General features: G+C 39.5%; 1 protein-coding gene and 1 long non-coding RNA gene across 20 annotated transcripts in view; one reads left to right on the forward strand and one right to left on the reverse strand.

Moving 5' to 3' along the window:
- Positions 1–27077, forward strand: part of SUGCT (succinyl-CoA:glutarate-CoA transferase) — a 903812-nt gene that overhangs the window by 715870 nt on the left and 160865 nt on the right. For 12 of the 17 annotated variants that reach the window (XM_011515525.4, NM_001193311.2, XM_006715775.4 and 9 more), the window contains one exon: positions 9442–9889. The exons of the other annotated variants lie outside the window; for them this stretch is intronic. In XM_011515525.4, the coding sequence (XP_011513827.2) occupies positions 9442–9605 (164 nt within the window). In that variant the 3' untranslated portion in view covers positions 9606–9889. Of the gene's footprint in view, positions 1–9441; positions 9890–27077 lie in introns of those variants that run through there. 17 annotated transcript variants of the gene reach the window in all.
- LOC105375242 (uncharacterized) overlaps positions 7557–27077 on the reverse strand; it is a 41876-nt gene continuing 22355 nt past the window's right edge. For all 3 annotated transcript variants that reach the window (XR_927191.3, XR_001745181.2, XR_927192.3), the window contains exons 2-3: positions 15233–15274; positions 7557–9258 (exon numbers count right to left, since the gene is read on the reverse strand). This is a non-coding gene — a long non-coding RNA (uncharacterized LOC105375242). The remainder of the gene's footprint in view (positions 9259–15232; positions 15275–27077) is intronic.

Here is a 27077-nt window from a genome sequence, read left to right on the forward strand (position 1 = left end):
CAAAGCTCAATGAGAGGTATCTAAGTTGCTAAGGTCATCACTGTAGCAGAGAAGAAAGGATAACATACATTGAGTATTTACTGTGTGCCTGGTACTGTTCTCAGGGATTCATAAGAAGCAAGGTTTTTAATTCTCACAGCTTTATATGACACTTTATACCAGTGTCATGCCCATTTTACATGTAAAGATACTGAGGCACAGGTTCAGTAAGTAAATTACCCAAGGAGATGGAGTCAGTAAATGGCAGAGCCAGGATGTGAACCTAGACACTCCAGCTCTAGAACCCACAGTCTTAACCGCCTTGTTGTATCACTTCTCAAAAACAACAGCTATGAAGTCAACAGATCTATATTTGCATCTGTCGTGTGCCCTTGTACACATTTCTTAACCTCTCTGAGCTCCATGTTCCTCCTTTGTGATTTAGGCATTAAATGCATTTGTAAATGTAAAAAAAAAATGTTTAATGTTGTTGTGAGGATCAAATTAGATAACAAACACATAGCATCTCATGTCGGGTGAGGTATGCAGTAAGCGTTCATTAAATAGTAGTTTTAGATGTTATAATATATAATTTAGAAACTGTGACAGGATCCTTCCACACCTACCTCTGCATTTTGTCTACTGCCAGCTCTGTAATTCTGGCTTCCATGAAGTTGATCAGTTCAGCCTCCCAGGTATGGGCATATGAAGCAGTTGAAGCAAAAAGCCTTTGTCATTATCCTACACCGCTCTAGAACCATCCCTTAGAGGACCACAGGCAGTTCACCCACAGCCCTTGCTTAGAGACGGGCATAACCTGTAAGCATGGCTTAAAGTAAAAGTAAAAGTACCTTAATTTATACCCATGAAGTCCATAGATATTTGTCTGTTGAAGGACAAGAATATGGACTTTCTTTTAAAGAAATGCACTTATCTCCAAAATTATGAGCTTTAGAGATAATTATTTATTTATTTTATTTGCCCCTTGTGGACATAAAATGTTTTTGATGCAATGTATTTTGGTAGAGACCTTAGATAGTAGAGAAAAGGCACATAAACAACTTATTTTTAAAACCTCAGCATCAGAGATGTTGGAATAAATACAATTGCTGTGGAAATATGTCATTTTAGAATGAGGACATTTAGATGGTAAATGACTTCTGATTTTACACATGCTGGCCAAAACTCTTCCTTTAATTTCAGACTTGCATAGCTAAAGACCCACTGACATCTCTCTTTGGATATTTCATAGGCATCTCAAACTTGGCGTGTCCAAAAAAATAATCCTTGGCTTGTGCCAAACTTGTCCATGCAATCCATTCAATCTTCCCTATCTGGTAAATGAACCCAGAAACTCAGTATTCTTCTTTGATCCTTTTCTTTTTCTCCTGAACTACCCTGGCCCATGTATTAATCAGTGTGTCCTCTCATTCTATCACTAGGATACCTCTCAAAAACACATCCACTTTTCTTAAAACTCTAATGTACCATTCCAGTCAAGGCTGCCATCATCTCTTATGATCTACCCACAACAACCTCCAAACTCATTACATTCTCTGCCTAGCACAAAAGTATTCCTTATTGTAAGTCCTGCCACTGCTTTTCTTAAAGCTCCAGTAGCTTCCCACTGAACCTAGAATAAGATCCACTGTCACTACTATAGTCTATACCCTGTGCATACTATCCCCTGCCACTTCCTGCAACTTTATCTAGTACCTCTCTTCTGTTAAATTACATGCTAGCCACACTAGATCATTTTTTTTTTTCAATTCCTTGAACATCAGTCTTGTTCATGCTGCCTGGAATCTTCTTTCCCCCACTGTTCGTATTGATAGCTCAGCTTCCGACTTAGCTTAAGGATCATCTAATCAGCTTGGCCTCCTCTGCACGTCCCATTTAGAAATGCCCTTTCTCCCACTTCAGCCCCTCCCCACTGTGATTGCAATATTATTCCATTTTCAACTTGGTTTTTAATAATTTTATAATTTTTAGCAAATTTTAGCAATTTATTTGCTTTTGTTTGTTCATTGTTTGCCTCCCACATCAGAAAGTAAATTCCAGAGCATTGGGTTTAATAAGTGCTTATTTTGAGGGGAGGACCAACAGCTTTTATCAGCCTTTCAAAGGGTTTCAAGAGCTAAGAAATGTTACTAATTGATGAGTTTGATGATGACAATAAAATTGTGTTTTGTTTATTCCCACAACCACTCAGCACAACACTTCAAAAAAAAAAAAAAGAAAGAAAGTAAATTCCAGAAGAGTAGGGTCCAGGTCTATGTTTTGTTTGCTAATATATATGTAGATCATACAGCCCAGATCTTGGCACCGGGATAGATACTCCAAAATTATATGTAGAATAAATTAGTGTATACATACATTAATTAATATGATATGTATTACTATGTGTAATAATATCACAGTATTTATTAAACTTTCTTTTATTGTTAGCAATTATTTGTTCAACAAATTTGTATTGATTGACAGAGCATGAGCCATGGAGTCTAATAGATAGAAGCTCTTTTTGTTTTTGAGACAGAGTCTCACTCTGTCTCCCAGGCTGGAGTGCAGTGGCGCAATCTTGGCTCACTGCAACCTCCGCCTCCCGGGCTCAAGAAATTCTCCTGCCTCAGCCTCCCGAGTAGCTGGAACTACCAGTGCACTCCACCACACCCCGCTAATTTTTTGTATTTTAGTAGAGACAGGATTTTACCATGTCGCCCAGGCTGGTCTCGAACTCCTGAGCTCAGGCAATCTGCCTCCCTTGGCTTCCTAAAGTGCTGGGATTACAGGCATGAGCCACCACACCCAGCCTGATATAAGCTCTTGTACTGGTTCTATCACTTAGTTGGATAATCTTAGACAAATTAATTAACCCTTTAAAGAGCCTCAGTTTTCTGATCTGTAAAATGAGAGCTATAATAATTTCTTCCTTATATAAATTGAAAAGTCCAATGAAATAATGAAACAAAAAGCCATAGTCCACAGTCATAGCGAATATCTAAGAAAGAATGCTTGCCATTGATATTTTCATTTTATAGCGACCATGAAAAGCATTGAAGGCCCATTAGCAAACACAATTGACATTATTCCTGCCCCCATAGGGGATACAGGCATCTAAATAGACAATTTAATGCTAAGAGCTGTTGAAGAGAATGCACAAGGTTATATGTGCTACTCAAATGAATGTTCTTAGCATCAAGGTCAAATGAATTTTCTTTGCAGATATTCCATCAATTACTTAAAATCTTGCCATATTTTGGATTTGCTACCTATTTGGATCTTGATTTTTCCATGCACTTTTTTTCATAGAGTATCTAATTATTATTTTTTCTTGTATGATGTAACTTATTATTATATTTTTCCAACTTTTCAGTTACAGAAGTTACACAATTAAGGCTTTTTGTCTTCTTAGACTTTCCTTTTGAAGGCCTCTGTCCTCCTTCTCCATCTCTGCTTTTATTGGCTCTCCAGGTCTGAGCTGTCATCCTGGGACCTTCTTTCCCTATGCTCCTTAGCAGGTCCTTATTGTGTATCAAAATTTTTTTCTTTCTTTCTTTCTTTCTTTCCTTTCTTTCTTTCTTTCTTTCTTTCTTTCTTTCTTTCTTTCTTTCTTTCTTTCTTTCTCTTTCTCTCTTTCTTTCTTTCTTTCTTGTCCATTGGCTTCTATATTTTACTGCAGTCATACTCAAGAAACTTATTTCAGTACACTTACTTAGTCTTTGAGAGTTTGCAAATAACTTCATATTTGATTAATCATTTAACTGGCCATACCATTCTAGGTTTAACAGTATGTCCCTTGAGAAAGTTGAAAGGTGGACATGGATGCTCCTGTATTCTTAGCTACTTGGGAGGCTGAGGTAGGACGATGAGGCCAGGAGTTTGAGACCAGCCTGGGCAACATAGCCAGTCCCCATCTCTAGATTTTTTTTTAAATTAGCCTGCTGTGGTGGTACACTCCTGAAGTCCTACCTACTTTTGAAGCTAAAGTGACAAGATCCCGTGAGCCCAGGAGCTCGAGGCCGCAGTGAGCTATGATAGTGCCTTTGCACTCCAGCCTGGCAGACAGCACGAAACCCTGTGTCTTAAAAAAAACAAAAAGTTGAAAACAAGCTCTACTTGTAGTTTTTAGTAGACACTAGTGAGGAGTTTGGTGCAGTCTAATTTTATTCTTTAAAAAAAAAAAAAAGACTAGTTTCCACCCTCCTGTCCTAGTGCTTAGGTCTTGAATTGTTCACCCCTCCTCCATTTCCAGGAAGTTTCTCAGATATTTTTAATGCTGATATTCTGAAATTTTATGTGATGTCAAGATGTAAATCTTTTTTCCATCTATACTGTTGGATTCTCAGTTGACTCTTTTAATCTGAAAAAATGCTCTCTTCTCTATTCCTCATATTCTTTGTTGAAAAATTTCTCCTCAAAAAAAAAAAAGAAAAGAAAAGAAAAGAAAAATTTATCCTCTTCTACTCTTTTTGCCTCTTTTTTCCTGGGGTTCTTGTCTGCTTTATGAGAACTCTTAGCTTCTTTCTCACATTTTTTAGACAAGCTATATTTTTGTCCCTAAATCCTTGGGAGCATCTTTTACTTTATTTTCTAAATTCCTAATTTTAACAATAATACTGGAAAATGTAAGTGCTAAATCTTGTTTAAATTGCATTTTTTTTTTGCATAGCATTCTGTTCTTGTTCTGTTTTGAGTTATCTTCATTGTTTCCACTTTTAACATCTTTTATTTGGTTCTCATATTTCTAGTCATCCCTGGTTGATCAATCTTTTATAGAAAAAAGATCTGGATGCCTGGCATTGATTTTTCTTTGTTGTTGAGGATGTTTTCCACTTTTACTGGATCTACTCTGAATGAGAATGCTTGGAAGTGTGGGTCAAGGTAGTTTCACTGACAGTCTTTACGACATGGATTCAGAGCCATAGACAGGCTATGGGCCCCTCAAATGTTGGAGTATCGAGGGCTTTGCACTGGGGCACAAAAATCCATATTAAAAATTTTTAACTTTCCCTTTATAGCTTTCTTGAGCTTCTTTTTAAAGAAATGGTTGATGCTAGCTAAATGCTAGCTGCTTGTACTCTACTTTTACAAAGCTTGTTTAAATGTTATTGCAGATCCAAACTGGACCCTTGTTCTATATTCAGACATTCAATCCTTCTTCTTAGTCCTATTTCTAGTCCCTGTTCTGTGTCTCTCATAATCACTGACTTTAAGATCAAAGGCTCTTGGGAGGCAAAACAGACCAACTGGCATCCGCTTGCTCTTATTCTCCTTCTACAATATTTTAGGCTTCAGCTTTCTCTATCTCTTTTATCCATCAACATGATCTCATCCATGTGGGCTGTAAATTTGTTGGAAATATCCCATTCATTAGTGATGATCCCTTCCATTCTTTTCATTCATATGAAGTTTTTTTGTTTAATTTTTATACTTTTATTTCAGTGGGGTTTCAGGAGAGTGTGAAGGCAATATATATACTCAAAGCCAAAAGTTAAATTATAACTTGAAATTACTGTACAATTTCCCTATAATTTATTTAACCAGTGCCCAACTTTTGGATAAATCTTTCTAATATTTTTCAGCATGATAACTATTTGACCTTTTTATCTGGAAGAGAGAGGTTGAAGATAGGTGTGCAGGACAGTACATGAAATAATGAGAAGCTGAACACCTAGTCCTAACAGAGGTAACCCTTGGAAGCAATGAGCAGACAGAAAATTTAAGTTAAACCAAAGTTGGGATCCCATGCAAAGAATTTTTATGGGCTGTAGGTTAGAATGCCATGTAGGAAGTCAAGAGCTCTTAACAGTATTGAGCAGACTTAAAAATCTATATGGATCTTTGCCTATGAAAATTGTGAACATTCCTAATTATGTCCATAGGAAAAAATTTTTAAAGTGGGATTTCTCCATCCAAGTATGCGAACACTTAAAAGTCTTGATATTTAGTTGACAAATTTTTCCTCCAGAAGGATTGCACCAATTTACACTCCTATCAGCCACCAACCTCTTAAAATCAAACAAAATTCCCACATTATTTGCTAATTTTATAAGCGAAATTTTATCTTGTTATTTTTACATACATTTCTTAGATTATTACTAATATTGATTGATATCTATATAATATTACTCAGTGCCCAAACCACCCTTCAATAGGTATTGCTGACTTCGTTTTAGAAATGTGTAGACTGAGGCTCTGAGACCTTAAGAGTTCTGAAGTTCACACAGCTTGTACGTATTTAAAAACAGATGGGAACATAGATGTTAGTTTGCCAAAAAATTTAAGAACATGTGACTTACCTTGCTCATAATTTTTTAGATGAAAGATCAGATTAGTCATTTTCTTTGGACCTTCGATATAAATAATTCTGTCATTTTCTACTTTTTGAAACAAATGTGTTTTTTGAGCCCTTTGTTTTCTTCATGCAAACCTTATTCAGAGAGGGATGTCCCTGCTATTATTATTATTGCACAGGGTTGCAAGAACAGATTTCAAATGGCTCATGGGAATTTAGCTTTCTCTGAGATCTTGACATCACTTTATTTGTCCCGTTGCAGTCTATGTCTTCATCCTAGCAAGTGTGAAAAAGTTGCCAGGTAATACCATTTTACCAACCTAAATTCTTGAAGATATTTTATGCAAAAGGTTAAATACTCTTCATTCTAAACTGGTAGCATAGTCTTCAGTGTAGATCTGGAAGCTACCAGAAAAGTATGGCATACAGTGGGAGGAACACAAGTTGAACTGCCCTTTAGTTTGGCTGGACCTGAAGAATTCCCTCATTCGATCACTGTGTGGAGGTTAAAAGTCCAGGCGCTTAGTACTGATATGCACAATATGGATGAATCTCAAAAATATTATGTTAAGTGAAAGAAGCCAGACACAAAAAGTCACAAATTATATATGATGCTATTTATAAGGAGTAGCCAGAATAGATAAATCCATAGGGACAAAAAGTAGATTAATGGTTGCCTGGATTTGGGAGGAATGAGGAGAAGCTGCTTGATCACTTTAAAATGGTTAATTTTATGTTATGTTAAGTTTTATCTCAATAAATTATTATTATTTTTTAATCCAAGTTGTTGAACCCAACAGACGTGAAATTGGAATCTAACTCTATCATTTTCTAGCTGTGTGAATTTGGGCAAGTTATTTTAATTTCCTAACCTTAATCCTAACTTTAACATTTAAACCTCCATTTCCTTCAATGTCCTAATCTGGAAATAAAGATGACTGACAGTCTACCCAAACGACAGGACCGTTGTGAGAACTGTATGCAATGTTGTATTAATACATAAAGCCTTTGGTGCAGTGGTTGACGCATCACAAGTTCTTAAGAAATGGTAGCTGGGCCAGCCTGACCAACGTGGAGAAACCCCGTCTCTACTAAAAATACAAAATTAGCCGGGCATGGTGGTGCATGCCTGTAATCCCAGCTACTGGGGAGGCTGAGGCAGGAGAATTCCTTGAATCTGGGAGGCGGAGGTTGTGGTGAGCCAAGATCATGCCATTGCACTCCAGCCTGGGCAACAAGAGCAAAATTCCATCTCAAAAAAAAAAAAAAAAAAAAAAAAAAGAAAAGAAATGGTAGCTGGACTATGATAGCTATTACTACTACTGTCTTGCTTCAGGTAATTCAAGTGGAGTAAAGTCACATGACATTGACTTCAGGAGGCATATATTGCTTCAAGCAGTTCTTCTTTTGATAGACGGGTTTTAGATTAAAACTGTTTTTAATTAATATCAAAATGGAACAGAGTTGGAGAGAGCAATGAGTAAGGGTCAGATGCCTAAACCATCACATTATTGTCATTCTTGGGAGAGCTGTGGACCCTGCCTCCCAGTGTCTGCTATAGTTGATTTCTCTCTTACTGAAAAGGGACAAACCCTTGAAAAGGTAGTCATGCACTGGGGCATTTAAAAGAAAATGTGAGAAGAAAACGATGAATGTCACTAAGCTTCAGAGAAGGAAAAACTGTAGGCATCAGTTGAAAGTTGTCCCTCTGTAGTGGATTAGATGTGTTACACAAAGGTGCAGCTTGACGGTGTTAGGAGACCCAAGTCCTCCATCTCTGTCAACAGTGGCAAGTGCAAAAGTACTTTTATTAATGGAATTCTCCAAAGAGCTCAAAGCTCGTTTGCTGCTTTACTGATGGGCATTCTTTTACCCACTCATGCTTTGGTTTTATTTGTTCTTCCTATGGGCTCCTCAAATCAAGAGAAAGCCAGAAAAAAAAATTGAGATAGGAATATCCTGTTTTATCAAGTCTTCTTGTGACTACTATATCATTTGTTCTCCTGAAGCCTAATCAAATGAGACATAAAGGACAGCCAACATAAATACCACTTACTGAATGTGATAACAAAGGTAAAATTAGTTGAAACAACATGTTCCCCAGTGTCCAGCCTCTCCGTGGAAGAGTGAGAAGTCAGAAGTGGCTGCTGATGTTATGGAAAGTTCATGGCCTTTAATGGGAGACAGTTCCAGCGGACACAGATTTTCATCCAGGCCCTATGATTAGCTATGTGGCCTTGAGCAAAACTTTAGGTTTTAGGGGTTTTCATGTCCTCATGGGAAGAATGGGGATAGTAAAATCTATTTCCAACAGTTCTTAAAAGCATTGCTCAACTCTGTTTAGAGGAACTTTGTGCCCGGCACCCCTTTTCCCCTTACACTATAAGCTTCAAGAGAGATGTTGTGGCAGCTTTTGTAATCATAGTAACCAACAAGTTTTGTGCATTAGCATGGGTTAGGGAATGCTTACTTAGTGCTTTCTGTCTATGATCTCAATTAAATCCTTACCTGAAGTCTGTATAGTAAACATTATCACATCCAGATTATGGTGTGAAGTTCAGCAATTCATCCAAGATGGCTCTGCTAGAGAGCATAAGAGCGGAGAGCAAAGCCTAAGTCTCTCTGACAGTGAAGCCTGCACACATAACTTCTTCTACCACCAAAAGCCTTGAACCAGGGTCTAGCTGAGGTTTCGGTGATCTGCAGTCAGTTGAACTAAACCTTGGAACTACACAGTAGACATTGAGTAGTCAGCTGCTGGGTTGCTTTCACCTGGGATCAAATTTCCAGCTTCAGAGAGACACTACGTTTCTGTGGTCACTGTTCTTTCCTACCTAGAGTTCACTCAGTTGAGTGCCCTACCTCTGAGTCTTCATGACGGGAACACCAGCTTCCAAATAGGCCCGGCACAAATTAGCTTCATCCATGCAGCCCCACTGCATGGTGATGAGCGAGTCAGATGAGCACTGCACATTTGGATGAACCTGAGTCAAGAAAAGCCACATGTGAAAACACGTTTATTTCCAAAACGTTGATGCATCTGGAAGGGTGTAACTGGCACTCATTGATATTTTTGGCATTCATGGAAAACACCCCAGGCTGCTTAGGTAATTAATTTCGTAGGGTTAGTCATTAACAGGCTTCCTGCTTTCCTTCTCCTTTGGCAGGCCCAGCTGTGAGATACAGTAAGTTCAAGATGTCAGAGGCCAGGCCGCCCCCGCTGCTCGGGCAGCACACAACGCACATCCTGAAGGAGGTCCTGAGATACGATGACAGGGCCATCGGGGAGCTGCTCAGCGCTGGAGTGGTGGACCAACATGAAACTCACTGACAAAGGAAAAGGGCTCTTCCTCATAACCTCGATCCGAATACACTGGCAAAGGCAACACTTTGCTTGGACCCTTCTCCCCAGTTCTGATACCACTAAAAAGAAGATTTAGAGTAACTCCAGATTTCTTACATGGCATCTCCAGAATGGCTCTGGTATTAATGAATCTAGTGCCTTTTAAATGTATCCCACGTTTTGTTCCCTACCATCTTTTTTTTCAGATGATGATTTCATTATGGATTTGTGGGATTTTTAAAAATAAAGTTTTAATTTTTTTCCTGGAAAAATGCACTCCTTATTCTACTTACATTAATGTCCTAAACGTTTGCCCCTTACCCCCCATGCCCTCACCAGACCCCCCGCCCCGTCCATACAGGCCTGAAAAAGAGCAGCTCTCTTGATACTTTCTACTTGTACATAAAATCTGCATTTAAATTTGTGTTAGGGAGTCAAAGCAATAAGCAGAATGACAGTCTCTGTGATTGATTTTATACAGAATAACTTAATTCTGAGCTCTTGAACCCTTTGTTAGTCTCTAATTTAAACCATAGACTTTGCGGATGTCCATTATAAAACTGAGCTCCATTCTCCCCTGTGGGGGTAAATATTTGCTTTATGTTGTATTTCTCTGGTGATTTTATGCTATGTGGCAGAAAGTCAATATTCCCAGTGCATTTAGAGATGTAGGTATCTGTCTGCACAGGTAGGTGAGAAGTGGTTTTACACTTGGTACCTTATTTTGAGCCAAGTGAAAATGCAACAGGGTTTTTAAATGAATTAAACAGGTTCTTAAATGACTATCCAGGTGTTAAATAATTTATACATCATGACAGATAAAAGAATGACAGGAAGACATTGCTTTGTAATCTGAGCATCCACTGTTGAAGACTAGATCATGCCTTAGCATTGAGTATTTCAATGGATATAAAGTATAAAAAACACCTGTGTCCAGTAGGTGAGAAATGATTAGGACGTATGTTCCAGGATAAATTGTTGCTCAAGACTGCTAAGCCCAGGTATAGTCTGGGGAATCAGATGACCTCAACTCCTGGCTGTTAGGCACATCTATTTTAATGTCATTACACACCAAATGGTAATTGAAAGCTGAATTACAGATGTTCATCTTTCAAACTGTGATTTAAAACTCATTTTCTTTTCATATTCTTCTTTATTAGAATGATTTGAGTCATTAATCTATGCTGTAAGGCCTAAGATGTTTCTAGAATGAAGAATTCCAAACAAATAGGAACTTGTCTTCTCACAAGGTCTTGTGACACTTTTCCAAAGAATGTTTACTAATTTTTGAAACAGTTATTGTCTTCTCTGCTTTGCTTTTTGTGGACATCTTATTCTGAAGAACTCTTGCTGTTATTCTACTAGTTAGAATCACATCATACAAGGGTAATTGGATGCCTTCTGCAGTACTTTTCCCCCATTGGCTAATTCACAATGCATACTCAGAGACATTTACTTTAGGCCAGGTAGTGAAATATTTCTTTATGCTTGTACATTTAATATGAAAAATGGTAAAAGATTAGATGGCAGAGAATTGGCAAAACCACATATCTTGAAAGATAGGCCCGACCATTTCTTCCGCTGATCTGGGTAGATATCTTGAAATGCAAATTTACTCACTTACTGGGCAGACCCTAAATATCTGGCTAAACATACGTAGGATGATATTGATCATGCAAAGAGGACAGAAAATTCCTCTAAAATTTTCAAAATTCCCCTAAAATTTTCAAATCCATGTACAGCTCAGTCTTCAGACATGACACAGTCAATATTAAAACAAAAAGACTGTCTCTAGTGAAATCATATATGTAAGTGTCTAGGACTCCACCTACGCAAGTCAAAATGATCCAGGATTTTGAACCTACTGGTCACCCAACAGAAAGCATTTACTGTGCTCTGCTGATTTAGTGGAAGAAATAATTTGGAATATATTTCAAGTTCAGATGAATAATTAGTCCTGAAAGAAACATCATGCTTGCTAAAATTTCTAACAATATGCCCCAGATCAAGTTATGCTTATAAACAAATGTGCTGTTTTAATTATCGGGGCCTATTATCTTACACATTCCTGAAACAGAGCACACTACTAATATACCATATGCTCAAGTTCAGTTTGTGTCAAGGCCTGCCTTCTGGCAGGTTTGTGTCTAAGGTTGGCTTAGAAAATTTTCTGAAACTCAGTGGGGTAATCGTTACAGAATTGGAAGTGTGTCCGTAAGCAAATGGGCTTCTTTTTCTTGTTTTTTTTTTTTTTTTATTCTGAAACTTTTTACTGCCATGATTTTCTGACTAATCAAGCATGATATTTTCCAGAAAGCAGTCTGATATGCTGAATGCTTCTCTAGCAGAAGAGAAATGAATATTGATCAACTTTGTGTGACTACCCAATTACTTGGTGTGAGCGTGTGTTTGATCCATCTCCTAGGGGTTAGAAGTATAATCATGATTTAAGGAAACAAAGAGGGGGTCAGGCACGGTGGCTCATGCCTGTAATCCCAGCACTTTGGGAGGCTGAGGCACCTGGATCGCTTGAAGTCAGCAATTTGAGACCAGCCTGGCCAACATGGTGAAACCCCGTCTCTACTAAAAATACAAAAATTAGCCAGGCGTGGTGGGTGCCTGCCTTCCCAGCTACTTGGGCGGCTGAGGCAGGAGAATCACTTGAACCTCCTGCAAAGGTTGCAGTGAGCTGAGATAGCACCACTGCACTCTAGCCTGGGTGACAGAGCGAGACTCCATCTCAAAACAAAGAGGATTTTATACAGGCTAGTTCATACCAGGACATTAGGCTGGATAGCACCACAAGGCAGGGCTTTGGCATGAAGACTTCACAACTCCTGCCCTTGGGAAGCTTGTACCTTCTCATATCTCACCTGAGTTTGCTATTTCACCACTGACTCTTTTGTGCCATGGGTTTGTCATGTTGTATTTTAAAGGCTTTATAGATATGAAACTTTCAGGTCCCACGTGGCTCAATGTTTCATTCATACGTAGGATTCATACTCCAGATAATGGACCTAAAGAGTCTGAGAGTGAAGGCCAGGTCCAGGCTAGACAGACTATGCAGATCTTCAGCCCCTTCTCATAACTGCTCACCATTGACTCTCAATTGGCAAAGGAGATGAGTGGGAAAAATGCACACCGTTGCCCTCCATACCCTAACCCTGGGCTATTCATTTTCAAACCCATTGCCCAAGATTATGATAGTCTCCTTGCATTTGCTTCTGTTCATAGGAGACTCCCTGATGTAGTGAGCCCTTCTAATTGATGGAATTCTTGAGGTACAACGGGCCTGAAAAAAAACAGTTGCTTATCTTGATTACAGTATGAGTGATCTTTAGGAGGTAGGATGTCAATCTCACTCCTCTTCCTGCTTGATCTAGTGGTACTAGTACTGGTGCATGTGTTTGATAAGGAAGATGAAGAGATGCAGAAAAAAGATGCATATTTCCATTTCAAACAGCAGTTAGGGAAAATTAAAAACCCATCACAGAGGCTCTTATATTGCAGTCTAAAAGTTTTCTCAGGCATGAAGTACAATTGCGTTTCTTACTATCCCAGTATAGCAAAACTAGGGTTAAATGTTTCATGAATTACTGCTTTCATGAGATGCTTAGTTTCTCCATACAGACACACCATGCCATTTTCTGAGCATGAATGGCCCTGAAAGTTCCTTTCAACATCTCAGTTGCCTGGGCTCTGTTGTCCAGACTGGAGTGCAGTGGTGCGATCTCAGCTCACTGCAACCTTTGCCTCCCAGGTTCAAGTGATTCTTATGCCTCAACCTCCCAAGTAGCTGGGACTACAGGTGTGCACCACCACTGCCCAGCTAATTTTGTATTTTAAGACAGGGTTTCACCATGTTGGCCAGGCTGGTCTCGAACTCCTGACCTCAATTGATCCGCCCACCTCAGCCTCCCAAAGTGCTAGGATTACAGACATGAGCCACCATGCCCGGAATGACCCTGAACTTTTAAACAAGGTGGGCAGTATGCAGGACAGGCTTATGTGGTGGGTTTAGGGGAGCAGAAGCAACTCCACTAGACATCTTTACCCCAACATCCACTCAAAAATATGTCTTCTGGTGTCACTTTAGGAGGTTAAAGTATTATAGGCAAATGAATGCAAATACTTGCACTACTACATTTATTCCACACACTAGGGAAAACAAGTACAAAAAAGGAGAGATTTGGAGGAATGGGAACTGGAATAGGCAAATTTGATTAGGGGGAAAGGGAAAGAGAGAGCACACCCAGGAGCTGCAGATCCAAGGACACATTTCCTTGGAAGACTCTGGAAGCCACAGGCAGAATGAACCCAGCCTGACGTGTTGGTGCCGAGAGGGAGGGGCAGGCACTAGAAAGAGCTCAAACACTAGCCAGATATCAGAATTTACTCACCTCGATTTTTCATGTGAAGCAGCTCCTTTTTCTCATTTATTAAGACCTTAGGGTTAAAAGTGCAGGACAGGAAACTCTCTCCTTTGCAACATGAACAATTGCTGCCTCCCCGCTCTTCCATTTTCACCTCTTTCTCTCTTTGTCCTGATTACTCCCGTTCTTACCTGTCTTTTTTCTCAGCCTTTGAACCTCTTCCCCTCTCTCTCCTTCTCTGGGGTAAAAATCTTTTTCCTCCTGTCCTTTTATCTTCCAACCCCCCCTCCTCCTCTCTTTTCTCCTTTCTTCATCTCCTCATCCTTTCTCTCTCTCTCCACACACAGACACGCACACAGAGTTATAGATCCATGTTATACAACTGTGGATACCAAAACCTGTGTCCGACCTTCAGAAAAATAGGACTTTCTCAGTCTTTAGGAAGATAACTAGTGGTAATTCTCACTATGACTTCACCCCCACAAGCAGTCTTGAATTAATCTCTGGGTGGGGTGGCTCTTTAATAACTAGCTGCCACTTCTTGTCCCTTGAAACACAGGGAAAGAAATGAAAGGGTACTCCAAATGCTACTCTGGGCTGTGGCAGAGTTCTCAGGCTCTCTGGCTGTATGTCACATGCACCCAGTTCTAAGGGGGAAAACCTAAAGTAAATAAAATAGAATGCAGAGCAGAGTCTAGACTCTTCGTTCCAGGCCCAGACACTTTGTTCTGGCCCCAGACGCTGGAGCCGAACAGCTTGGGTCTTGCTGTTGTGGTTACAGAGGAAGTTCCATTAGGGCAGGAGCAGGGAGAGCATGACAGTGTGATCGGGGACTGTTCTGCTCCAGCGTCAGGCTGGGTCTTGGACTTTGCTTCTTACTCTTTCTTAGCAAAGGAAAATTTACTTGGCCTTCAGGTGGCGGTGAATAGTTTGTCCCTGGCCATTTTAATCCAATGGCCTCCAGAAGGATGGTGCCCTCACCTCTACCTTGTTAAATAGGGTGATTCCATTCTCATGTTCCCTTTGCTTTCTTCTCCCAGCAGGCTGAAAACACTTTGCCACATCGCTCCCCATGCCTCCTCCCTTTCTCTTTCTTTGCAGATTAACCACATGACAGTCCTTTCAACTCCAGTTAGTTTCTTTGGCTCCTGACCACATAGATTGGGGGAACAGTGTTTTCCTGCTTTGCGTCCTGTCACTCACACCCCTTCCTCTCCCCTAGAACTTTGCACGAGTACTCACCATAAAACAGGAGACTCAGCTTCAGAAGACGCAACTGGGATACTGAAAGAAAAGAAATTAATGTCAAACTGTCACAGGAAAATACCTTTCTTTCCACCCCTCTTACCTCTTTGTGAACCCACTAGAATTTGGATCTCCATAGCATCTCTTGGTATGAGATGTGGCAACACGCATAACACACATTCACCCTGACGGTCCTGGATTTATGTTTTTAGATTTTACAAAAAACTTCCAGCTGTTCCTGATGGAAGCTTTGAAATGTACTCCTGATGAACATTATTGTGTTCTTTCCTTGGAGAGGGTCAGGAAAATTATAGCTTCCATTTTGGGAGGACAGTTAAAGAATCACTATCTCTAGAGGTAGAAAAATGAACTCCCTTTTCCTATCTAGGATTGCCTCTTCATATAGCCGAACGTGCTTGCAATGGCATTGACACAGGCCACAGGGAAGGACAGAAATGCAGCAACTCCACAAGTGCAGTGGGAGAAGTCTGAGACTACAGCAGACTGAAGCCCCCATTCTCAGAAACACGACAGAGCCGAAGTAGCCAGTGACTTGGGCTCCCACCTCCAAGCCCACGTTTCCCATATGCTGAGTCCCAAACGTTTTGTCTCATTCTCTAGCTTTACTTTCTGCAGTCTGGGAAAACTCCAGTGAAAGGATGTAAGCCCAGCATGCAGGCCAGAGGTGGTGCTCAAGACTTGCTAAGTGAATCGTTAGCTGAACTCACTGACAAACCACGGAGAGATGACAACGATCCAAACTCGATGTTTTATGCAACTACTCTCATACAACCTGGGTGACATGAGGTGAAATGAGTAGCTTGGTGGGTCTCTGTGTGGGCGCTTTTCTGGGGGAAGGTTTATTAGCTCGGCAAAAAAAGCTCTCAGATCTAGAATAGGCCCAGATGGGGGGAGAAAGAGGACTCTGACAGTTGTCAGAGTTGTTACCTTTAATTTCCTGAACAAAGTGGAAGTAGATTTACAAGACGCATCCATGTAAAATAAGAACTCCTTATATATATATAATAAGATTAATATATAAAATAAGATTAATATATATAAGAACTCTCCCCATATATATATTTATGTCTCTATACCACATGCCCCCATATATATGTCTCTATCTCTCCGCATATAATATATGATATATATATTATAAGCTTATAAGAACATCTCATAAGCTCATAAAACATTTTCAAATATTGGAGCATATATATATATGTGTATATATATGCTCTCCATATATATGGGGAGAGAGCAAGAGAGAGAGAGAGCATCTCTTATAAGCTTATAAATGATAGCTTACCAAAAATTCTGAAAAACGTTAGAACATGAGTGAAACCTATTTCCAGTTAAATTTCAGATTCTTGGACAAATAAAAAGAAGTATGAGAGATGTCTAGAATTATATGTATAACTCCAGTAGGAGTTTTAAAAATTGTATTAGTAGGAAAACATGCATTTATATGAAAACCTACTCTATAAGCAAATTAAACAAAAAAAGTAGTCCCACAAAATGAGAAGATACAGCAGTGAACTGAATAGATAACTTCTTTTAGTTTTGGTTTGTTGGAACATTTTCAAATATTGGAGCAGAAGCAAGAAAGAAGTACATCTTCATGTTTGTCTATTAAGCCATGAATGAAGCACTTTCTAATCGGCACAATTAGAAGTGTTCGCTGCATGTTGTTTGCTGTCTTAGTCCCCTGTGCTTATCTGACCAAAACAGCTGTCACACATTGAGCTATCATTACCTGGTTACTGGTGGTTCTCTTCTATTAAACTATAATATAATTGTGGGTATCGTAGTCACTATTGTATCTCCAGTTGTTATCATAGCGCCTACTCTATAGGAGATACATAACAAATATCTGCTGAATAGACATCCTCTCACCCACCAGATTACAAGTTCTATGAGACAGAAACTGGTCATATTTATTTTACTACTCATAGTGTCTGTAATAGCCTTCAAGGATAGTCACCATCTATTCCTCCCTCCCTATATGCACGTGCCTCCTTCTTGCAAGAGATGCATTTTATTTCTCCTCCCCTTGACACTGAGCTAGTCTTTTTTTCTTTATTTCTTCTAAAAAACAAAACAAAAATACGGGATACATGTGCAGAACATGCAGGTTTGTTACATAGGTATACATGTGCCATGTTGGTTTGCTGCACCTAGTGACCTGTCCTCTTAAGTTACCTCCCCTCACCCCTCACCCCACAACAGGCCCTGGTGTGTGTTGTTCCCTTCTCTGTGTCCATGTGTTCTTATTGTTCAACTCCCACTTATGAGTGAGAACATGCGGTGTTTGGTTTTCTGTTCCTGTGTTTGTTGAGGATGATGGCTTCCAGCTTCATCCATGTCCCTGCAAATGACATGATCTCATTCATTTTTATGGCTGCATAGTATTCCATGACACCAAGATAGCCTTGTGACTTGCTTTGTTTTTGTTTAAGAGGTGAGCGCTTGCTCTGTCATCCAGGCTGGAGTGCAGTGGCACAATAATAGCACATTGCAGTCTCAAACTCCTGGGCTCAAGCGATCTCCCATCTCAGCTTCCTGAGTAGTTGGGACTACAGGCATGCACCACCATGCACAGCTAATTTTTAAATTTTTTATAGAGGTGGGGGTCTCACTATGTTGGCCAGGCCAGTCTCAAAATTCCTGGCCTCAAGTGATTCTCTCACCTCAGCCTCCCAAAGTGCTCGGATTACAGGTGTGAGCCACTGAGCCTGGCTATGGGCTATGACTTGCTTTTTAAAAAATCTTTTTACTTTAAATAATTTTAGATTTACAAAAAATGCCAAAAATAGTACATAGAATTCCCATGTACATTCACCCAGTTTCTACTAATGTTAACATTTTATATAACCAATGTAACATTATGTAAACTGGAAAATTAGCATTGATATAATCCTATTAGCTAATCTATAAACATTATTCAAATTTTACTGATTGTCTCACTTGGGTAGGCAGAATTCTAAGATGGTCCCCAAGATTCCCAGCCACACACACTGTCTCTCAGTTATCCAATCAAACACTAAGTAAGTGCTTCTATGGAAGGAATTTGTAGATGTAATGAAGGTCCAAAATCAGTTGATCTTAGTATAGAGAGACTCTCTAGGTGGGACTGAACTAATCACATGAGTCCTTTAAACCTGGGTCTAGAGGTCAAACTCATTAGGCTTCAGATTTGAAGCACAAAGGGGATTTGACATGTGGAAGTAGTCACATGGCAAGGAATGCAGGTGGCCTCTAGGAGGTGAGAGAAAACCCAAGTGACAGCCAGCAACAAAACAGGGACCTCAGTCCTACAACCACAAGGAGCTGAATTCTGCCAACAACCTGAATCAGTTTGGAAGTGGATCCATTTCCAGAGCTTCAGAAAAGAACTCAGCCAAGCCAGCTTGATTTCAGTCTTGTGATACCCTGAGTAGAGATATACCATGCTTGAATTCTGACTTAAGGAGCTGAAAGCTTATAAATGGCTGTTGTTTTAAGCCTCTAAGCTAGGAGTAATTTGCTATGCAGTGACAGAAAATGAATATACCCACGAATGTCATTTTTTTTTTCTCATCCAGGATCAATTCCAGGATTCCACATCACATTTAGTTGTCATTTTTTCTTAGTCTCCTCCAATCTGGGTCAGTCTCCAATCTTTCTTTGTTTAATTACCTTCAGTGTATTGTGCAGTTATTTTGTAGAATGTCCATTAATTTGGTTTTGTGTGAAATGCTTCATTATTAGATCAGGATTATGCATTTTTGGCAAGAAATTTCAGAGGTGATTTTGGATCTTTGCAGTATATCGTAACAGGATGTACATGATGTTGATATTGTATTACTGGTCATTTTAACTTTGATCCTTTAGTTAAGGCGGCATCTTACAAGTTCCCCTTAAAAGTCCTGGGTTTGCTTTTGTTTGTTTCTGTAATCAGTAAGTATATTTTGGGGAAATATTCTGAGACTGTACTAGTTCACTTCAGCAACTGTAACAAATTACCACACTCATGATCATGTAAAACAATAGAACTTAATTCTCTCAAAATTCTAGAGGCCAGAAGTCTTTGGATTTCATTCTGATCAATGTCATTGAACTGAAAGAAAAGTGTTACATGGCTGTGCTCTCTGTGGGGGCTTTAGAAATGAATTCCCTTCCTCACATAGTCCAGCATCTCAAGCTGCATTCCTTTCATTCCTTGGCCAATGGTCATTTCTTCACCTTCACAGACAGTGGTGTAACATCTTCTCTCTCTCAGTCTGCTTTCTTCCTCCTCCTTTACATGATCTTCTGTGTGCCATCAAATCTCCTTCTGCCTGTCTCTTGTAAGCAAACTTGTGGCTCTATTCAGGGCCCACCCACACAGTCCAAAATAACTCCTCCATCTCAAGATCTTTCATTTAATCACATCCATAAAGTCTTTCCCATGTAAGATAACATTTACAGATTTCAGGGATTAGATAGAATGCATTATCTTTTGAGGAGGCATTTTCTAGGATACCATAGAAAATATGCAAATATTCTGTTTTTCATTATAGTTTTGCCCACGAATTTTAGCATCTGTCTGTGATTCTTGCCTTAAACAATTATTTGGTATTCTACTTCTATTTTTCCTGTTTTTAGATTTATTAACTGTAATTCTATTGTAAGAGTTGCCCGTTCTCCATTTGTTTACTTATTCAATTATTTATTTATATCAATATGGACTAGTTGATATTTGTTTTATTTTGTGGGTTATCATTTATTGTACTCATTGTTTTTTTGCTTAAATTGTCACAGATCTGGCCACTGAGAGCCTCTTCAGCATGAATTGAATGTCCTTTCAACACGCTCCTACCTTTTTAAGAACACTTTCTTACTTTCTGTCAATACAAGATGTTCAGGATCATGTTGTATTTTTCCTACAATAGCCCTGGAATTAATCATTTCTCCAAAAAGCCCTTGTTCCTTTTACTAGAAAATGGTATTTAGAAACCAAGATCTGAATACTAGACGTGCTAATTGTTACTGGAATATCATTATGACTAGGTCCCCTTTGCAGACGAGGGAGGAAATACATGCATACACACACACCCAGCCACACATTTATATTTGTTTCTATATGTATCCTTGCACATATTTTTAAAACCACGTGCCATTTCTAAGCTAAGTCTTTAAGAGGTATGGCATCTTCCTTTTATGCTCTTGGAAATCAACTAGCATGCTACATGTCTGAACATCATCCTCTGAAGAAGCCCAAGCTAGCTATGTGGAGAGAGAGGGGGGCCATTTGGAGGAGCACCAGTATACCAGACATGTGAGTGAAGCTTTCTTGGATATCCAGCTTATCTTAGCAACCAAGGGAATACAACTGAATGAGTGACCCCAGCCAGTGCCACATGGAGCAGAAGAACCTGCCCATCTGAACCTTGACCAAATTTCTGACCCACATACATTGATATTGTTTTAATCCACTAAATTTTAGATAGTTTGTTATACAGTAATACATAATGAATTGTAAACTCAGAGAGGAGTTTAACTACCTGAGTGGTTTCTGCAGTAGGTCACCTTTATAGTCCCCCCGCCCCCACCCCGCCAGTGAGCCTCACCCTCTGGTATTCACGTCTTTCAGTGATCTCCACTCTTTGTCAAACCTTGTCTGGAGGAGGCATTATGAAAGGGCAGTGTTGTTTGCTGTATGTTAACCTCTTCGGGGGAGCTCAGGATATAAATTACAGCAGTAGTGGTAGAGTAGGCGGTAAAGGATATGGAACACAAATATTAATGAGAAACTTTTGCAAGGACCTCCCAGAATAACCTCCACGTTCTAGACCAGTGGTTCTCTGGGAGGAGGGTGGCAATTTTTTCCCTCATGGGAAATTTGGCAATGTCTGGAGACATTTTTGGTTCTCATAACTGGGGACAGCATGGAGGGGAGTGTGGGGGGAGAAGGATTGCTACTGGCATCCAGGGAGTAGAAGCTGGGGATAGTGGGTACTGATAAACATCCAGCAATGCACAGCACAGCCCCACAGCAAAAACTCAGCCTAAAATGTCAGTAACGCTGCTGCAGAGAAACACTAATCTAGAGGAAGCTAATCCTTCAGGTGGGAGAGCGGGTGCCTGACCGTCCCATCTATTCATCTTTTTTTTACATTATTTAAGTTTAAGGCAGGATACAGGTGGGCTCATTGCGGTATAATTGATCCACAGATAAAACTTACCATAGTGGTTTTTTGATGAAAAATTCTTGTTCTGACTTCTTGTGAAATTCTTATTTTGGCTTCTTGCAATGAATATGTTTCTAACGTGGAGGAAGCAAAACATTCTATCTAAAGAAGATTCCTCATTAATTGTTCTTCAAATTTGCAGTTACATTAGGGACACAAGTCAAATTACAGGGAAGATCTTAGTTCTTAATATAATTAGAGAACTATAAGTTGTCCAAGCGACACTGACCAGGCCGCATCCCCCTCTGGGCCACAGTTTACTCTGATGAGTCAGGGGCTCTGAGGACATAATTTCTAAGATCCATATTTTGAGTTCTGCCATTCTTATTTCTTTCATACTGTGGATACACAGAGAATGGAATAAGTGTAGAGAAAATAGATGGACAGTTTTGAACAGTGAAGTTTAAAGGAGAAAGAAACTTTAAATGAGGAATTAACTGTACCCCTTTTGGGTATCTGCTAACCCAGAACTGTAGGGAAGTAGAGTGTTTACAAAGTTAAGAAATATCAAGTGAGAGAATTCATACCTTCCTTGGCACACCTTCCTAACTCTTTGATGTACACACTCTTCAGATGTCTGCTCTGGAGAAGAACTGAGGTGGATTAAGGCTAAAGTGTTGAGCATGAGAGGCGTCTGAGGTCAGGGCTTGCTGACTGGGTCACAGCTGTGCAGCCTCAGCGGAACCCGGCTGATCCCTTGATCAGAACATAACAGTAACGTACCCTACCCCACTGAAAACCTGCGGATCTAGAAGTCATAGGGTCTTCTCTACAATATGGAGCTTTCAAGAGGTACTTAAGGACATGAAAAAGAGGATAAATACATGTGCAAAATATTAATCAACATTTGCAATTCTGTCCAATTGTTCTAACAAGGTTAAAATGAGGACCAAAAAACTTACCAATGAGCTTCCCATTGGAAAAAATTACTTTGCCAAAGGAAATGGTATTTTAAAGAATTGAATGGAAAAAAATATTTAAAGGTCATATGATAGAATTTGAGCCTACAGGATGACTTTTTCTTGGCCCTAATTGTTGACTCTATAGACCTCAGCAAGTTACACCTAGAAGATACGCAATGGGAAGGGCATCTGGCAACCAGACTTCTGCACTGGTTTGTTGATTTTATTGCATTATCAGAATGTGGCCAGGCTCCCGGGCCCACCCATTCCATGTCCACATTCTTTTCCATGTCCACAGCCACCATTTTAACCTACGCCCTTCTTGCTTCCTCCTTCTCACACTTCAGTCATTCCTGCCCTTTCTTCCAAATCCAATTTTAAAAGTCAGTGGTCTAGTAAACCTTTAAAAAATTAATTCCAGTTTATTCTGGTTATAACTGATTACTCCTTTACTCAGCTCAATACTTATGCCTGACTTTATATTGCCATCAAGAGCATTGTTGAAGATTTTGTGTTTGTTAAGCTTTGGATATACAGAGAGGATTAGGACAGGTACTCAACATCAAGGAACTTAAAACCAAGGTTGGGAGGTAAGACACATAAAGTTGATGCATAATAACTCATCCTATTACCTAAGAAATGCCAGTGTTGTTGGAGTTCAGAGATGGGAATGACTCTGTAACCTGCTGTGCTTAGGAAAATAATTTTGTAGGAAATGAGCCTTCATCTTCAAAGGAAAACAAGACTCATATCAGCAGAGGCACTAAGAGTGTTACATGCAGAGGTGAGCAGGCCGTGTAGACAGGAACACCAACCACTGGCATATTTGGAAATAGAAATCTTAAGTAAACAAATTTAGTTAAAGGAGCCATGTGGGTAGTGAAAGAGGGCCATTACATGGCAATAGATTGGAAGACTGGGAAGAAGCAGATTTCAGATGATAGCTGGGGACCTTGAAAGTCAAGAGGGTAATTTTTCTGTAGACACTATGATGATGTTGTAGGTTTTCCACCAAGGAAATGACTCATCCAAAGCTATACCTTGTGAAGATGGCCCTGACAGTTGTGTATAGAGTGGACCAAAACTGAGCCAAAAGAACCGTCATAATCTGCCTTTGAGACAGTAGGGGCCTAGATGAGAGATAGTAGTCTTGTATGTTCCTTTATACATTTTGTTCTATATATCTCTGTTGTATTAAGTTAACTAGATTATAAATATCTTGTAAGCCAGAGACATTTTCTTTTCAGTTTTATATCATGATTCTTCTTGCCGATACAGTGCGCTGGATTAAGTGACTGTTAGTGAGTAACTGTTGCTGTTATTATCACCCTGTAAATTTTTATCAGTCTTAGCTGCTCCAAATTAGTTATAGACATGTAGCACTGATATGAGCACGTAAGAATTTGTGATATACAATATATTCTCTGTATAACATATTCTCTAGGGCCAAGAGTGCAGAGCCACTTTGATAGATCAATGCTGTTCAACTGGGAATCCTAAGAGTTGTATTGGAAGATGGTGCAGGAGCCTGAGAAGCCACCACCACACTTAGTGCTCTAGAAACGTACCTCCTCATCAGGCTTCAAGATCTATCCTTTTCTGGAAGAATATATATTTATACAAGGTCACAGTAGTGGTTATGATTAATACATGGGAGAAATTGAAGCTAAGTCTGAAAAACTCAGGCCATCTGTCTGCCTGCTCCATGGAAAGTATCAGTCCCTGTTACAGATTTAGGCAGATCCCATATGCCACTCTGCCAAACGGCACTGCACTTAATTATGGGATTCTCCCTGGTCAAGTTAGTCATGGCCAATTAAAATGGCGGTAGCAATTTCCTTGCACTCTGAGTTCTAGATGGTCTTTTCTACTATTAACCCTTTACTGCGCACATGTTTTCTTCTGAGATAGATTGGAAATTTCTTAAGGGTAGAATTTGTGTCTCACACATCTTTTGTATTCTGCTTAGCACCTGGCACAGCATAGGAAATAAGTTAGTGTTCAGGAAATAGTTGTTGAATTGGACTGTTGAGAAAACTCACTTTCTCAGAAATCTTTCTTTCAGAAATTTATTTTTCCATGGGGAGGATGTGCTTCTGGTTTTAGTCAAAAAAGCTTGAGGACATGTTAGTGTAGTTCCATATTGTCTAAAGTTCAAAAGGTGGCAGAACAAAAGAGTGTAAATGAAACAGCACCCAGTTGTTCAGTCCTACCCATGGCATTGATGAGGCCATATCTTCCATTCCAGGCTAATTCCTATAACTAATCATTTTTCCTTCTCCTCTCCAACACAGTTGGAACCCCTGAATCCTTCTTAAGTACCACTTTAGACAGCCACTAGAAATCAACCTGAAGTGACACAACAAATGTGTTTTGTCATTTCAAGACCTTTGAGGCAATAACCAGTTGCAAGTTTTTCTAAACTTCCTGTAAGTCTACAAGTGCATTCCTAATGTAGACAATAATGCTAATAAAAGCTAACCTTTACAGAATCTATAAGTAATCTTCCCCTCCATCCATCTCTCCTGCAAAGATGAGTCTGTGCCAGGCTTGGCAGTCCTAGTCTCCCTGCAGTGATTATTTTAGAATGAGCATGGGACCTAATTCTGGTCCAAGGGATGAGGGAAGCCTCCTGGAAAGCTTCTGGGAAAGTTTGCCTCACCTTTTCTTACTGAACATGAACAAGAAATAATGCCACAGGTGGTCATAACGTTGTCCATGGGCCACCATTATGTGACCAAGACAGAGAGAAGCTTTGGAATGAAATCAATACCAAGGATAGCATAGAAGAGGGGAAAAGAACCTGGGTTTTGGACAACCCATTGAATTGTCAATCATTTTGTGCTGAAGGCTGCTTTTCTGGATTCCAACTTATATGAAACATACATTTACTTATTGTTTTGGCCACTTTGAATTGCTTTTTGTTTGTTTGTTTCCTTTTTTAATTGCAACCATAATACCTCTGGGCAGGGGAATATTCCAACTTTGTTGACATTATCTCACTACTCATAATAACTCCGTAAGATTGACACTGTCTTCATCTCTATCTCTCAGGTGGGCAAATTGAAAATTAGATTGCTTAAGTAACTTTCCTAAGTCATAGAACCATGCATGCCAGAGCTTTCATGTGCACATAGGAAGTCAGACTCCAGAATGCCCACTCTTAAAACATTACTCTTAAACCCACACTCTTACAGCTGTCTGTCAATTTATTCCCTGGAAAGAACAGAAGGACCATACTAGAAGAAATACAGGCTGGGCATATTGAAGTTTCTAGAAAGTTATTTAAATACTTTAAAGGAAAGGGGATCCCATGTGTATACCAAGTTGAAAATATAACTTAGGTGCAAATGCCACCCATGGCTTAGAAGTCTGTGTATGAGTAGTGTTTCATTTGTCTTCTTTCCTTCTAGCAGGCTGGAAAGGAAGGAAAGCTTCACCACCATAAATCAGAGGCTCTCCAAATTCTTCCTAGGTTGTCTCAGGCCCATGGGAGGTGGGGTCGGTGTGTGGGGCTGGTGGAGGCCTTTGGGGTGGTTTGGCAGATAACCATGCTGAATGGATTGTATTTGTGCATCCATCCCAGGGCTGCTGCTTAGAGCCACAGGTTCCTGCTGTGAACAGACACTGGTTGTGCAGCCACTGCTCCTGGAGGGGCCTGTGCAGCCTGGAGCCATTCCAGGACTCCACAGCATCCACGATCTAATTTCCCCGAGATCTTTTTTTTTCTGACAGTACCCTTTCTTAGAATTCATAAAAGCCTTTCTCTTCTTTAATATACACACGCATTTTTCTTTTTCACTTAGAGCCTAGACAAAGTTCAAAATCATTTAAAGTTTATATCTACTCAACTTTGTTTTCAAGGAATCTCTTCTTTTTGTTTTGAAGGAATCTCTTCCTTCCTTCAACCTCTTGAAGCTTCCTTCAGCCAAAGCATGTGCCCAAATGAACAATTTCTTTTGAAACATAGCTTGTAATCAACACATTAAATAGTCTTTAGATAAAATGTAATAAACAATTTAGCAAGTGCTAAGAATACCTTTCATGTTATACCCAAATGCGTGTCTGTATGTGTTTACCAGAAATGGCATGTGATTTCAAGGTTCATTATTGGATATTTTCCCCCAAAATCATTAGTCATGGGTTCTATACATTTTGATAGCATTTTTTAGACTTCACCAGTGTAAACGTAATTTTGACATATTCTTTAGTTTTTTGATAATGTACTGCAGGGAATTAATATGCACTCAATGAGTGGGGAGTATGTGTGTGAATGGAGTTTTTCTCAACACACAAACATTTTCTTTTTATAAAAATTTCAAACACAGCTCTCATCTGAAAACCACTTAGTCCCAACTTTCAAAACCAAAATGATGGGAACTTCTCTAGCTAATTTACATCCCTGTGAGAGATTCTTAGATTTGTTTTTAATCTTAACCTGTATACACCAAGAGCTGACAATGAATGTAGGGACTAGATTTTGAGATTCTCAGTTCTAGAAATAAAAGCCTGGCTGAGTTATTAGATACTTGAGGGTTTACTCCATATGCTGCTGAATCTTCTTTGGTTTTATATTTCTAGAATATGCTCATCACATTAAATTGCTTCTGCACATGTGCATGTCACATATTCTGAAACGACATGGTGACAAAACCAGACATGATGAAAACACCAAAGATCTAAACAAAGCTCTAGAGTTCTACTGTTCTGTCAGATAAATGGCTATTCTAC

This window comes from Homo sapiens, chromosome 7 (genome assembly GCF_000001405.40).
Source record: "Homo sapiens chromosome 7, GRCh38.p14 Primary Assembly".
Classification (NCBI taxonomy): Eukaryota; Metazoa; Chordata; class Mammalia; order Primates; family Hominidae; genus Homo; species Homo sapiens.